Below are 14985 nucleotides of genomic sequence, written 5' to 3' on the forward strand. Positions count from 1 at the left end.
AAGATAAAAATGTTGTGCTTCAGTCTCACATTCTAATACTCTTTCTTCAGGTTGACCCTGTATTATGTTGGAATAGGTGTTGCTGCCTTGATTTTTGGTTACATACAGATTTCCTTGTGGATTATAACTGCAGCACGACAGACCAAGAGGATTCGAAAACAGTTTTTTCATTCAGTTTTGGCACAGGACATCGGCTGGTTTGATAGCTGTGACATCGGTGAACTTAACACTCGCATGACAGAGTAAGAGGATGATATTGTAGTACGTTAGCTTTGTTTTCATATGTGACATGTAAATGACCTAACTACATTTATTTGCTTGTTTCAGTGACATTGACAAAATCAGTGATGGTATTGGAGATAAGATTGCTCTGTTGTTTCAAAACATGTCTACTTTTTCGATTGGCCTGGCAGTTGGTTTGGTGAAGGGCTGGAAACTCACCCTAGTGACTCTATCCACGTCTCCTCTTATAATGGCTTCAGCGGCAGCATGTTCTAGGGTAAGTGAGATGGCTAATGCAATATTGAATGGAAGCAGCAGTGTGGACTAAATGACTCACTGAGTTTGTTCAAAAATGGCTTTTCTATTCACTTGCCATGTCCCAAACTACAAAGGGATATTATACACCACAAATACTTTTGATTTTGTTCACCATTAATCCCCTTTCTATCTTCAAGTTATTTGGCTAAGATGAAATGTTTTTAATAGCTTACTAACATTGAAAACATTTCTCTTCATTTAGCAGTCTAACACAACTTCAAGTGGTAGCATGGATAAAGTATGATGTCCTTATACATGTGATGTTTAGTTGTTGCTGTTGGGACAGACTTGTTTGCTCTAAATTCACAGATCAACATGGTACGATTCATTTCACTGGGTAGAATGGAATAAGAAAATCCTAAAACAATAAACATCTTTTTATATCATCCTCTTAAAGTTTATGTATATATGTAAAGTTTTTTTTTTTTTTGAGGCAAGGTCTCACTGTGTCACACAGGCTGGAGTGCAGTGGTGCAAACATGGTTCACTGCAGCCTCAACTTCCCAGGCTCAAGTCATCCTCCCATCTCAGATCCCAAGTAGCTGGGACTACAGGCAACCACGCCCAGCTAACTTTTGTATTTTTTGTAGAGACAGATTTTCACCATGTTGCCCAGGCTGATCTCGAATTCTTGGGCTGAAGCTATCCGCCCACCTCGGCCCCACAAACTGCTGGGATTGCAGGCCAGTGAGCCACCGCACCCAGCCAAGTTTATACTTCAGTAAGGCTTTCAATTACATTTCAGATTTCTGCTAATATCTATTTTTATGTACTACACAAATATGTTTCAGTTTTTTAAACAAATTATGTACTCGCATTCTAAATTACATTTTTAGCACTGTTTTGCTGTAAGTATAACACAAAATTGTAATCTTATCTACAGCCTGGTTTTGAAACCGATACTCTGTGAAATCTAAAAACAACAAATGTATCTGTAATATTATTCTTCAAATCATATCTTTTGGAAATTCTACCATTGTATATACTCATCTTCTAGATAGGAGGCACAGTGCTTTAAATTTGGCAACACTAATCATTCTTTATGGAAATCCAGTTCCTAAAATTTCCAGAGTTTATTTACTAACAATATAGTAATTCAACCAAACAAGAATTTTCAGCAATAAAACTATTCTATAATGGCTAATCCCTTAACAATAGGCTTGGAGATTTGGACAGCATGTCTTTACTTAGTGTGACTCCGAGTGTTGACTTTGTAGCCTTTATCAAAATCTTCATCCTCAACTTATTTGAAATGAGGAAGGAAATCTCAGTAGAAAGATTGCCTGCAGTAAGTTAGTAAGATCAGAACCTTAACGTCCACAGAAGAGAAGTAAATGAGGAGTTGTAAAGGAATAGCAGTGGGTAGTCTAAATTCTATTATTGTATTCATTGATCATGGAGAGGAAGCAGGTGAAGGTCAGAGTTATCCAGTGAAGGTCAGAGTTATCCAAAGGATGCGATACCAGAGTGGATGGCTTCTAGCTTCCTTCAATTCAACTTGACAATTATCTATTAAATACTTGCTAAGTACAAGGCTTTGTGCCAGGTGGTGTTTCCCCTCTAGTGATCTACTATAGGAATAATTATCTTTAGTAAGTGAATTCAGAAAATAATGAGTATTATTCCGCTTCTGCTACTCTCTCACTTTAACAGTTATCCAAGCATGTCTTATATAAAATCAGCTCCTATTATGTGGAATATATTTTTTAGGTGGATAGACTTGCTATGCGAATAGGCAATAGTTATGAATTCACAGCTCTGAAGGCAGTATCCCCGCTGTTCCCTTTTGTGGAACTGTTGTGTTAATTACAAAATTGTAAAAGGATTATTAAATGGGACATATAATGGAGAAAAGGGCATGTGAAATCAGGTAAACCTGTCTAGTCACCAATAGTGATATTTTCCCTTTTCTCTCTGAAATCTTACCTCTTAGTATTTGAAGACAAATTTTTAAAAATACAGAGATAAAGTCTAAAAAAATACCATTAGTCTACTTAGAATTCAAATTCTGCCTGACTTAAATGTTCAGAACATTATTACTACACAGAGTCATTTTTTAACTGTGGTTGTGGTTTATTACAGATGGTCATCTCATTGACCAGTAAGGAATTAAGTGCCTATTCCAAAGCTGGGGCTGTGGCAGAAGAAGTCTTGTCATCAATCCGAACAGTCATAGCCTTTAGGGCCCAGGAGAAAGAACTTCAAAGGTCTTTCCTTTTAAATATAACAAGATATGCTTGGTTTTATTTTCCCCAGTGGCTACTAAGTTGTGTTCTGTTTTTGTAAGGTATACACAGAATCTCAAAGATGCAAAGGATTTTGGCATAAAAAGGACTATAGCTTCAAAAGTGTCTCTTGGTGCTGTGTACTTCTTTATGAATGGAACCTATGGACTTGCTTTTTGGTATGGAACCTCCTTGATTCTTAATGGAGAACCTGGATATACCATCGGGACTGTTCTTGCTGTAAGTCTTGTTTGAGAACAAGGTGTCAGGCCTGGATAATCTTTCCTTACCTAGTTTAGCCAAAATTCCTCTTTGAAGATAAATATTCAAAGATGGATGTTTTTATTAAACAAATATTTGTTTCCCTCAAATTATCTGTATACACCTTTAAATTATAGTTATGAATTGACAGCATTTATTCATCCAGCATGTTTTAGTGTCCTCGCTGTGTCAAGCATCTGCATTCCGCTTTTGGAAGAATCATAATTGAATTCCCCACTGGGAAATACACTGAGTTTTGTTAATCTAGCAGTGAAAAAGGCCATTCTCTTGTGAGACTTTTCCTTTCATCTGGGCTGAGATCAGACGGAGTTCTGCATTCACCTTGCTAAATGTCTTCTCTCTGGAAATGGTCTGTAGAGTTTACACTCACCTCCTCTTCCTCTGTCCTTTCAGCATGTAGTAATTTAAAAAACAGACTACATATAGCTCTGTCCAGTATCACAGTTTGGAGACTTTTAAATTCTTATGGGTTATGTGTTAAATAATAATTTATTCAGTTATCCTCTTAAGTTACAATAAACAGATCAGTTCAGGATTAAGAAACATTTGTCTTGAGGAACCAAAATGATCTGCTCTTTATACTTTGATCCTTGTTTGGCCTTTCCATTCTTACAGATTTCTCTTCTTTCCATTAAATTCATCTTTTGAATTTGAGGCATTCATAATTAAGACTTTTAGCTATTCATTTATTTCATATAAAGTGAAATGTGAGCATGAACGATTTTTCACTCATCCTTGCTCCTCAATTTATGTGTGGCTGGGTATCTGGCTTACTAAGCCTAAGCATCCTCATCTATATGATAGGAGTAAGAGCTCCTAGCTTGAGGGATTCTTTTCTTATTTGACTTTTTGCAGAGATGAGTCTGTCTTAAAATGGACAGCTGTCCCCTAATACAAAAATTCAAAAACGGTTTGAGTGAAAACAGTACAATGTCTCTGAGCCAATAAAATCTACTGAATTTTTCTTTTTAAAGTTCAAGGGGTCACCCAACAAGGAGGGGAGTGCAACTCACCATGGGGTTTATACATGGTCAGCACACTTCAGTTAGCAGATTTTTCTGGTCACACATCCCAGCATGTGATAACCACAAGACTATGAGATAATCAAAAGTTGTTCCTTATTAGGAAAAGGCCAAGGATACTTGGATTAATCTGTGTTTCTATTGCTTCTCGGCCTTTTGGCTAAGATCAAGTGTAATCTGTGTTCTTTTTTATTTGGTCATATCTTCCATTCTTTCTTACCTAATTCCTCTAATATCTCTCTGTGAGCCTAAACCAATAATTATATATTACATTCTATTGTCTTTCTTATATAACTGCAGAAAGATAAATATCACTTTGTTTGTTCCTGTAGGTTTTCTTTAGTGTAATCCATAGCAGTTATTGCATTGGAGCAGCAGTCCCTCACTTTGAAACCTTCGCAATAGCCCGAGGAGCTGCCTTTCATATTTTCCAGGTTATTGATAAGGTAAGACCTCTTATTGCTTTGAAGAATAACTATCATTACTGCAAGAAGGAGACAAAAAAACATACACCCTCATTTTCACTAAAACAATAGGATGGACAAATTTAATGTTGGCCAGTTGTTTATGGGAAAGAGAGACTGCCTTTAATTCTTTTCTAAGAGGAGATTGTGTTGTATTGAAACCTTCATGTCTAACTCAATGCACTTCTAAAGCAGAAAGGAAACTGTCATGGAAGAAAACCATCCTTATACTATTTTTAAAATGTAGAGACTGTCAGTTTACTCCTTTGAAGATTTATAACATTTCCTTTGTTTTTCCAAGAAACCCAGTATAGATAACTTTTCCACAGCTGGATATAAACCTGAATCCATAGAAGGAACTGTGGAATTTAAAAATGTTTCTTTCAATTATCCATCAAGACCATCTATCAAGGTAGGTTAAAACAAATTACGCAATTGTGCAGTTTTCTGATATTATCTTCTACTGGCCAAGATCTTCTCTGACATGATTACTTAGGATCACTTTTTTCCAAGATTTTGGCTACTTTGCTTAGAGACTTGAGGAGGTAGATAAATAATGGACAAATAACTCTGGATCAACTAGTTATATTTTGCAGCATTCTTTCTATATTCAACTGACTAAAGCATTTTCAGCTCCGTGAAATTCTTCTACTCTGGGTTTGGGAACACACCTAAATGTCTTGGGTTGACGCTGCCACCTGTTGGTGGTTCCTAGATGCTACCCCACTCAACATACTCATTTTAACCCCCTCCTCTCTAACCTAGGAGAATTATGCACATGTGCCTTTCCCTTCTTCCTTTCCTGGGGCTTTTACTGCAGCAGCAATTGCGGCTAGTACTTTATCGCCTTTACACACACGCACACACACACGCAGTTTATCGTACTCCATCATTCAGTCTTTGACAAGTTCTTGTGAAAATGTGTGTCTTTTTTATTGTCTTCCCCCTTTCACTTCATTAGTGTATTTACCAAAAAAGTAGTTGTTGTTAAAGATTGCACAAGGCGATTACTAATAAAACACTGGCTTCATAGAAAAAGACATGATTTTAAGTGAAATAGATAAAATTACTAGTGTGATCAATTTCTAATGTCTGCTACAGAATTTGTATAAAGACCTACCTACTCCTACTTCCTTATTTTTTTTCTGATTAAAACTTTGATCGAAATTCTCTTTTCAAAGCTCTTTAGTTTTGAAAGTTGTTACTTAATTACCGATTACCATTATTGGTATAGTATTGACTTCCACCATTTTTCTTAACTGTACAGTATTTCAAACTACATTTTGCAACTGTATTTGGATTGGCTTCCTAGGGACTTCAGCACCAATTGTGCCATTATATTGCATGGGAAAGTGTTCTTTGGGTTTTAAACAACTATTTTTAAAATGAACTTTTGAAACATAACCCTTTTTGTTAAACTAAAGAATGAAATTTTGGGGGGGTCCACCTATTTTAAATAAATAAATTCTTTCAAGGAATGACCAGAAACCAAATCTAGAGTAAAAGTGCAGGTGTGAGAAGAGGTACTCCTACTGGTGGTCCCCGATTTCTCACCTCCTTCAGAGAACTTTTCTCGGCTTGGCCCTCTGAAGGTTTTATGTTTGGCTTATGCAAAGGGTCCATTGCTTTACAAATGGTGAGATCAAAGCAAGAGAATTCAAAGGGAGATTCCCCTGTTTAGGGCTAACTACATACAGATGCAAGCAAAGATAGGTGAGAATTTCTCAACAGGATCACTGTTGTCATTTCGAGAGGGTAATTATTGTGAGGCTTCAATCACATTGCAGGTCCCTGGCACACTAAATGCTGTAGCAACCCCAGTCATTGAGAAAATGTTTAAAGTGTTCCCTCATGGGTCACCATGAGCCCACCAAGGTTTCTAATGATAAACTCTCATCTATCGGGAGCCACTAAGAAACTTTGCCAGCTGTTTTCCTTTAGAATATGCTTTGCAATTATGTTAGTATGTCCTAAGGAGGAGCTTCATTAAATAGCTTGTGAAAATATCTGGCAAGATCTCATTTACTTGTTACAAATTAAGACTTTCATTAACTTGATAGTCAAAATTCATATAAAATATTTTAGTTGAAAATGTGAACAGTTTACTAGTTAATATTCTGAAGTACTCTTAATTTAGTTCTCTTTACATAGAGAGATAATGATAGATTCTTTTACTACTATTTTCTGAAATTATTCAGGCTATTACTACACATGTACATGAAACAAACATAACAAGATCTAAATTTGTTTTTAGAAGAATTTGTTTTTGGTTATAATTATGTACTCATTTTCTGAAAATGTGTCCATCATCTTCTTATTGTGGTTTTATGATTTTCCCTCCATACATTCCAATAGATTCTGAAAGGTCTGAATCTCAGAATTAAGTCTGGAGAGACAGTCGCCTTGGTCGGTCTCAATGGCAGTGGGAAGAGTACGGTAGTCCAGCTTCTGCAGAGGTTATATGATCCGGATGATGGCTTTGTAAGTGCAGCTAGCAAAACCATGCACAGTCCACCTAATGGAATCTGGAAACACCGCAGGGCTGGCAGCTCTGTAACTTTTCATTTTCAACAGTAGAGCTGGGAGAGAAGCCATATTGTTTTCTTTCCTTTGTATCCATTCACTCAGCAAATATTTATTTAGAGCCTACTATGTGTCAGGCACTGTTTTAGGTTCTGAGAATACCTAGGTGAATAAAACAGATAAAAATCTGCCCTCATGAAGTTTACATTCTAATAATCAGAGGCAGACAATAAAAAAATAAGTAAATTATATAGTATGTTAGAAGGGAGGGAATGTTGTGGAGAAAAATAGCGTATTAACATCTGTACCCAGTACCTATCAAGAATTTCAAAGTTTGTTCCAGAAGAATGATGTAGAAAACATCTCCACTTTTCTTTTCCTTTTTTTTTTTTCTTGGAGCTTACAGTGTTGCACTTAACTTTCTCAGCCTTGTAAGTGGCATAGAGGATAAGACAGTGATATTCAAAAGTGATTAATTCTTAATGCTTCTGTTCAAAGTTTCAACAGTTATTTTTAAAAGAAAATCTACTCCCCTAGAGCCTGGCTTTATTTAAATTTTACTTCATAGTTTTCATTTGGAGTATCCTAGACCCATGTGACTACATAAATTATTAGATGAGTGTTATGTGTATAAAAGAGTTGCATAGAATATCCATGCCCTGACAGAAAACAAGGGTTGGTAAGAAATAGAGACTCTATGAGTTAGAATTACCAAACCCTGGCTTCTGTCACGGGAATATGTTGGGGTAATTGGCAATGGCACCACCCGTGGAGAAGCCAGAGGTCACTTATTATCATGTAGAGCAATGAATAGGAGACACTTTTGTCTTTTGCAGAGGTGTGAGATGTTGAAATAATGGCGGCTATTTCCTAGAAGAAATGTAAGGGTCACATCCAAAACTGAAGTTTTTTGTATGTGTCTACATAATAACATTTGCGGAACCTAGAGTATGTATCTTTATAATATCTAACTTGTGGATCTTAGAATAAAGATAATCAGATGATCTGGCAAGGTTTTAGGCCAATTATTCTTTTGCAGTTTTGTTGGTGCCCATCTACCAGAAAAAGTCTATGGACAATATATATGTTAGAAATATTTTATCAAAATATAGTCAGTCTTTGATTTCTAAAATATGCTACTTCTCAGCTTATATTTTGGTCTAGTATGAAAAACCCTAAAATCAATACAGTAAAAGGCATCACAACATGGTTCATTCTTTGGATTGGCAGATCATGGTGGATGAGAATGACATCAGAGCTTTAAATGTGCGGCATTATCGAGACCATATTGGAGTGGTTAGTCAAGAGCCTGTTTTGTTCGGGACCACCATCAGTAACAATATCAAGTATGGACGAGATGATGTGACTGATGAAGAGATGGAGAGAGCAGCAAGGGAAGCAAATGCGTATGATTTTATCATGGAGTTTCCTAATGTGAGTACACTGTGCAGCCTGTGTCCTTAGCTTATGGTGGCAGCGCTGCGACATTCCAATATAAGGTAATGAAACAACAACTGATGCAGAATAGTAGGGGTGTGATTAAATTCTGGATTGTCCTAGAACAAGCTTGTCCAACCAGTGGCACAAGATGGCTTTGAATGAGGTCCAACACAAATTTGTAAACTTTCTTAACACATTATGAGATTTTTTTGTGATTTTTAAAATCTTATCAGCTATTGTTAATTTTAGTGTATTTAATGTGTGGCCCAAGACAATTCTTCTTTCAATGTGGCCCAGGGAAGCCAAAAAATTGGACACTCCTGTATGAAACATCTGTAGAGAAGAATGCATAGTAACAACCAAAAGAAGAAATGCATCATTGAAAGGCCAGATTGAAAAGAATCATATTTTGTTCTGCAATTGAAAAAGAAAAAAATGAAAGATATGTTAAAGCATAACAAAGAAATATGAAACAAAATCATCAGACCAAGCTGAGAAATTATGTCTAAAATGTTTATTTGCGAGGCCATCTTGTGGCTGAGAGTGGGAAAGTCATACACACAATGTTCAGATTGGTTCTGTGACAAACCACAAGAAAAACTATGATCATTTTTTAAAGCACAGGAAGCTAACATTGCATAAGAAATGTGAAATCAGGCCGGGTGCGGTGGCTCACGCGTGTAATCCCAGCACTGTGGGAGGCCGAGGTGGGCAGATCACCTGAGGTTAGGAGTTTGAGACCAGCTTCGCCAACATGGTGAAAATTCATCTCTACTAAAAAGACAAAAAAATTAGCTGGGTGTGGTGGCGCACACCTATAGTCTCAGCTACTAGGGAGGCTGAGGCAGGAGAATCACTTGAACCTGGGAGGTGGAGATTGCAGTGAGCTGAGATCGCACCACTGCGCTCCAACCTGAGCAACAGAGTGAGACTTTATGGGAAAAAAAAGTGAAATCATATTTGGAAAGCAATATAGTCCCCAAAAGAGTGAAATCATATTTGGAAAGCAATATAGTAAGCTAAAATTATTGTTAACCAGACTTACGAGATCTTAATGGGTATTTAGAATTAATGGGGTGCTGTAAAGCCTTTTTTTAAAAATATTTCCTGAAGTATTAGATCCTCAGCATCCCCTGAAATTGTTGTGCGGAGCACCTTGTTACATATGAAAGGATGAGATTTGCAATTAAAATACATATAAAATTCCACCATCCCAGAGGGTCACAATAACAGAAATGTTTATTTTAATGGGCATATTTCACAAACCAAACTTGACGGACTGTAATAATTTTATTCTTGGTTTTTAATTTAAAAAATTTGTTATGCCAGTAATTGTCTCTTGTCCCCATTATTTAGGATCATAATTAGGACATATTTAGGCCAAAAAAATCATTAAAGATTTAAGGTGCTTCTTAAATCTTTGGGAACACACATTTCCTTTTGTTGATGTTTTGCCCCTTTCAATGACTTCCTTTCCTTAAAACATCAATGCTCTCATTTCCCACTTAGAATTAGGGAGCTTTCTGATGCCTCTTAAATCATACCCTGTAAGTTACTACTTGCTTTTACCAAAAGCCAAATACTACACAAAGATGTCCCTTGCTATAAATCTAATAATAAATTCAGAAGATATAACCAAAATAAATTAAAGATAGTAGCTTATCATGATGAAACCTAAATTCCACAGCCATAGCTAACCAGAAAAATGAGGAAACACAATAATGAATGAAAGTTCCAGAAGTGGCTAATTTAGGTAGGTAAAAAATTGGGGAAAGCTATTGTAAAAAAATGTATAACATTACTTCCCTTATAATATACACAGATTTTAAAATTAATGTATAATAATTAGCTGATACTGGTTAGCCTTTCACTCATAAACAACCATGAAATTGGATAAAACATATGAGGCCAAGGGCAGTCATTTCCATGCATTGGATGAGAGGTAATGAAAGACTGATTCCTAACAGAGAGGAATCTCATAAAGGTACTCCATGAATTCTGTCTGGGAACACTGAGCTGAAAGGCAAAGCTCAAATTTCAGGGCAGCTTGGGCAGCTGGAAAGGTGATAAGAAATCACCTGTGGCGATGAGGCAGGGGCAGAAGCCCAGTCTGTATGGGCATCCCTCAGGAATCCTTGTCTGAGGATAAGACTACCTACCCAAGGCTCACCAGAGAGTGGCAGCCATAAAGCTGCAAGCGGAACACTGGATAGAAGTCAGGCAGTGCTGCGGGGGCGTTGAAAGTGCAGCGCAGCTGGAATGGAGAGATCACATTAACACCTTTTTAACCCCCCAGGCAAGTAGCTAAAACACCAAAAAAGCCACACCTTAGGAGTCAGGACCACACCTTAGAGTAAGATCTACCTGCCCTAACAAACCCTGAGACCAAGCCATGACAAGATGCCCAGAGAAGAGAGGTTTTGGAGGTTGTGTTCTGCCAAGTTATGTGGCTTTCTACAAATTCACCCCAAGGAAACCTAAAATGAAGATTGCACAAGTTCAAGATCAGTCAGTGCTTGAGTTGCCTACTAGAGACAAAAATCAGCACTGTTTTTTTTTTGTTTTTGTTTTTGTTTTCAGAAGAAAACAGAACTTAGAGTCTCTTCAACACAACAATTACAGTACTCAGTACATCATTTACAAAAACCAGACATGCAAAGAAACAGAAAAATATGGCCTGTATGCAAGAAACATAATCCTAAAAGTTTATTCTTTAAGAAAAGGGCTTCAAAATACATGAAGCAAAAACTGATACATCTGAAAGGAGAAAGACAAATCCACAACTTTAGTTGAGGCCTTCAGTGCTTGATAGAACAAGCAGGTGGAATATCAGTAAGAATATAGATGAACAATACTAACAGGCAGCTAGATTTCACTGGCATTTATACGACATTCCAGCCAACAACAGCAGAATACATTCTCAAGTGCACACGCAACATTCTCTAAAATAAACAATATTCTGGGCCATCAAAACAAACAAAACAAAACTGTAGCTCTTTCAAATAATAGAAAACATAGAAAATATGTTCTCAGACCATAATATAAGTAAACTACACAAATATTTGAAAAATCACAAAAAACAATTCTAAAGAATATATATCTCAAAAAAGAAATTTCAAGAAAAATGAAAAACTATTCTGAACTAAATCAAAATGAAATTGCAATGTATTAGTATTTGTGAGATATAGTTAAAGTATTGCTCTGAGAGAAACTTATAGTATTTAATGCTTATTTTCGGAAAAGAAAAAAGATCTACAGTCTGCAAACCTAATTTTCACCTACAGAAACTAGAGAAGGAAGAGCAAATTAACCCAAAACAAGCAAGACTAAGTAAATAGAAATTACAGTAGAAATCAGTAAAACCAAAAACTGAAAAACATCAATTACTGAAACCAAAAGCTGGTTCACTGAAAAGATTAAAAAAAAAAAAAGTATAACTGTAGCAAAGCTGAAAAAAGAGAGAGAGAGAGAAAAGAGATGGCCAGTATCAGGAATGAAAGAAGGTACATGACTATTGATTCTAAGGACATTAAAAGGTTAATAAGGAAATATAAACAGCTGGGCATTTTTTGACATAAAGTCCTGTAATCCCAGCACTTTGGGAGGCTGAGGCAGGTGGATCACTTGAGGAAAGGAGTTTGTTACCAGCCTGGACAACATGGCAAAACCCTGTCTCTACTAAAAATACAAAAAATTAGCTGGGTGTGGTGGTGCACACCTGTAATCCCAGCTACTCGAAAGGCTGAGACAGGAGAATCACTTGAACTCAGGAGGCAAAGGTTGCAGTGAGCTGAGATAGCACCACTGCACTCCAGCCTGGGCAACAGAGCAAGACTCTGCTCCCCCGCACCTCCCCCCAGCCCCCCAAAAAAAGCTAGATGTCTAAATAACGGCAACAGTTACAAATGAAATTAAAATAAAAAGCAGTATTCACAAAGCATCAACAGACAAAATGCTTAAGAATAAATTTAATGAAAGACGTGCAAGTCTTCTAGTAAAAACTATATTATGCTGATAGACATGAAAAGATCTAAAGAAATAGAAAGTACCTTATTCATTGATTTAGAAACTCCATATTTTTAAAGATTTGCATTCTCTCCAAGTTGATATATAAATATTGTGCTTTATCAATCAAAATCTCACCAGTTTTTATGTGTATGTGTAGAAACTGACATGTTGATTCCAAAATTTATTTGGAAATTCAAAAGACCAACAATAGCCAAAACAATTTTGAAAGAAAGACCAAAGCTGGAGGACCTAAATATCTAATTTTAAGACAGCAATTAAGATCGTGGTAGTGGCATAATGATGGTTGTATAGATCAGTACAATGGAACAGAGAGACCAGAAATAGATTCACAAATATCTACTAAGTTAATTTTTGACAAGGCGAATGGAACTCAGTGGGGGAAAGAAATATCTTTTCAACAAATGGTGCTGGAACAAATGGTTATCCTTGTGGAAAAAATAAAATGTGACCTTTACTTTACATCACACACAAAAATTAATTTGCCATAGACCTTGTACCAAAATTGTAAAGCGTAAACTTCAAAAATTAAAACTTACGAAAAAATCTTTGTAACTTTGAGAGAGGCAAAAGTTTCTTAGACTGAAAAGCATTACTATAAAAAAAAGATAAACTGGAGTGTACTAAAGTTAAAACCTCCTTTTTAAAAGACATCATTTAGAAAACAAAAAGGCAAGACAGAGAGCACAAGAAAATATTTATAATATACATGTCCGACAAGGACATGAATCCAGAATATATAAAGAACTGCTATAGCTTGATGAGGAGACAAAAAATAGAAATTAAAAATGGGCAAAAATTTGAACAGACATTTTACAAAAGAAGAATCAAATGAACAATACATATATTGAAAATATGCACCATTATTAGTCACCAGAGAACTCTAAAATAAAACGATAATGAGATACCATTTTACACTCTTAGAATGGCCAAAATTAAAAAGACTAACAAATGTAACTTTTGGTGATGATGTAAGCAATTAGATCTCTCATTCATTCAAATAAAAGTGAAATCAGTATAATCATTCTAGAAAGCAATTTGGCAGTTTATTATAATGTTAAACATACACTTATGACTCAGCATTCTATTCCTAGGTATTTATTCAAAATAAATGAAAACATGACCACAAAAATATCTTGTACATGAATATTCATAGCAGCTTTATTTATAATAGCCAAAAATAGGAAACAATTTAAGTGTTCATCAGCAGTTGAATGAACAAATTGTGATAGATCTAATTTTTCTTTTTCCTTTTTCTTTTTTTTTTTTTTTTTTTTGATATGGGGTCTCACTCTGTCACCTAGGGTGGAGTGCAATGCACAATCTCAGCTCACTGCAGCCTCGACTTCCCAGGCTCCCAGGCTCAGGCAGTCCTTCCACCTCAGCCTCCTGAGTAGCTCATGCCACTACACCTGGCTAATTTTTGTATTTTTTGTAGAGACAGGGTTTCACCATGTTGCCCAGGCTGGTGTCAAACTCCTGGCTTCAACCAATCCACCCACCACAACCTCCCAAAGTGCTGGGATTACAGGTGTGAACCACCACACCCGGACAAATTGTGATAGATCTAGAGTTGCCAGATGAACTACTGGATTCCCAGTTAAATTTGAATTTCAGATAATGAATAATTTTTTAGCAATATTGCATAAAACATACTTATACTAAAAAAAACTCATTGCTTTTCTGAATTCAAATGTAACAGCTTTGTGTTTTCTTGTGTGTTGTTTGTTTTTGCTAAATCTGGCAACCCAAGGTAAACTCGCATTGTGTGGAACACTACTTAGCAATAAATAGGAGTGAACAACTGATACAACATGGATGAATATCAAAAACATTAAGCTAGGTAAAAGAAACAAGCCAAAGAAGTACATACTGTATGATTTCATTTACATAAAGTTCTAGATCCAGGAAAATTCATGTATAGTGATAAAAATCAAATCAGCGGTATCTGCAGGCATGGTATGGGTTTTGACTGAAAAAAGTGACATAAGGAAACTTACTAGGGCTACAGAAATGTTCTATATCTTTATTGGTATGGTGGTAACATGGGTGTACTCATTTGTCAATACTCATAGACTTATATCCTTAAAATGGATGCATTTTATTGTGTGTAAATTTCTTCAAAAAGCCTGATTTTTTAAATGTGAAGATCAATCTCTAGAAATTAAGGGTTTAGAAAGAATATTTAAATTTATCTCCGTGAAGAAATAAACTTTGAATCAGGGACGTAACCCAGTAGAATATTACTAGCCATGTTTCCTGGGCGCTAGAAGTTACCCCTACCACAAATATGGAAGACAAAATATCTACTTTGTTAAAGATAAATTTATTTTAAAACAAATCAAAAGAACACCTAAAAAGTATCTCAAGATGGAAAAAACGTTTTAGGGGAAAGTTTGTTTTGGTAGCAATTTTTTTTCATGCTGTTTTTCAGAGTATCCAGGAAGGAAATTGTGGGTAACA

The 14985-nt window shown here is 36.0% G+C and overlaps 1 protein-coding gene across 4 annotated transcripts in view, besides 1 other annotated feature; it reads left to right on the forward strand.

Moving 5' to 3' along the window:
* Window positions 1–14985, forward strand: part of ABCB5 (ATP binding cassette subfamily B member 5) — a 141342-nt gene that overhangs the window by 27467 nt on the left and 98890 nt on the right. For 3 of the 4 annotated variants that reach the window (NM_178559.6, NM_001163993.3, NM_001163942.2), the window contains exons 1-4: window positions 4197–4515; window positions 4835–4945; window positions 6889–7014; window positions 8287–8490. In NM_178559.6, coding sequence (NP_848654.3) covers window positions 8290–8490 — 201 coding nt within the window. In that variant the 5' untranslated portion in view covers window positions 4197–4515; window positions 4835–4945; window positions 6889–7014; window positions 8287–8289. Of the gene's footprint in view, window positions 1–50; window positions 243–327; window positions 500–2622; window positions 2748–2827; window positions 3006–4196; window positions 4516–4834; window positions 4946–6888; window positions 7015–8286; window positions 8491–14985 lie in introns of those variants that run through there. The other variant, NM_001163941.2, reaches the window with a different exon arrangement.
* Window positions 10480–11037: an enhancer, noted in NCBI's record as "NANOG hESC enhancer chr7:20693236-20693793 (GRCh37/hg19 assembly coordinates)". NCBI's record gives its function as "activates a minimal SCP1, AML or CMV promoter by ChIP-STARR-seq in naive H9 embryonic stem cells {active_cell/tissue: H9 hESC(naive)}" and the evidence as "EXISTENCE:reporter gene assay evidence [ECO:0000049][PMID:30033119]".

Source organism: Homo sapiens, chromosome 7 (assembly GCF_000001405.40).
Source record: "Homo sapiens chromosome 7, GRCh38.p14 Primary Assembly".
NCBI lineage: Eukaryota > Metazoa > Chordata > Mammalia > Primates > Hominidae > Homo > Homo sapiens.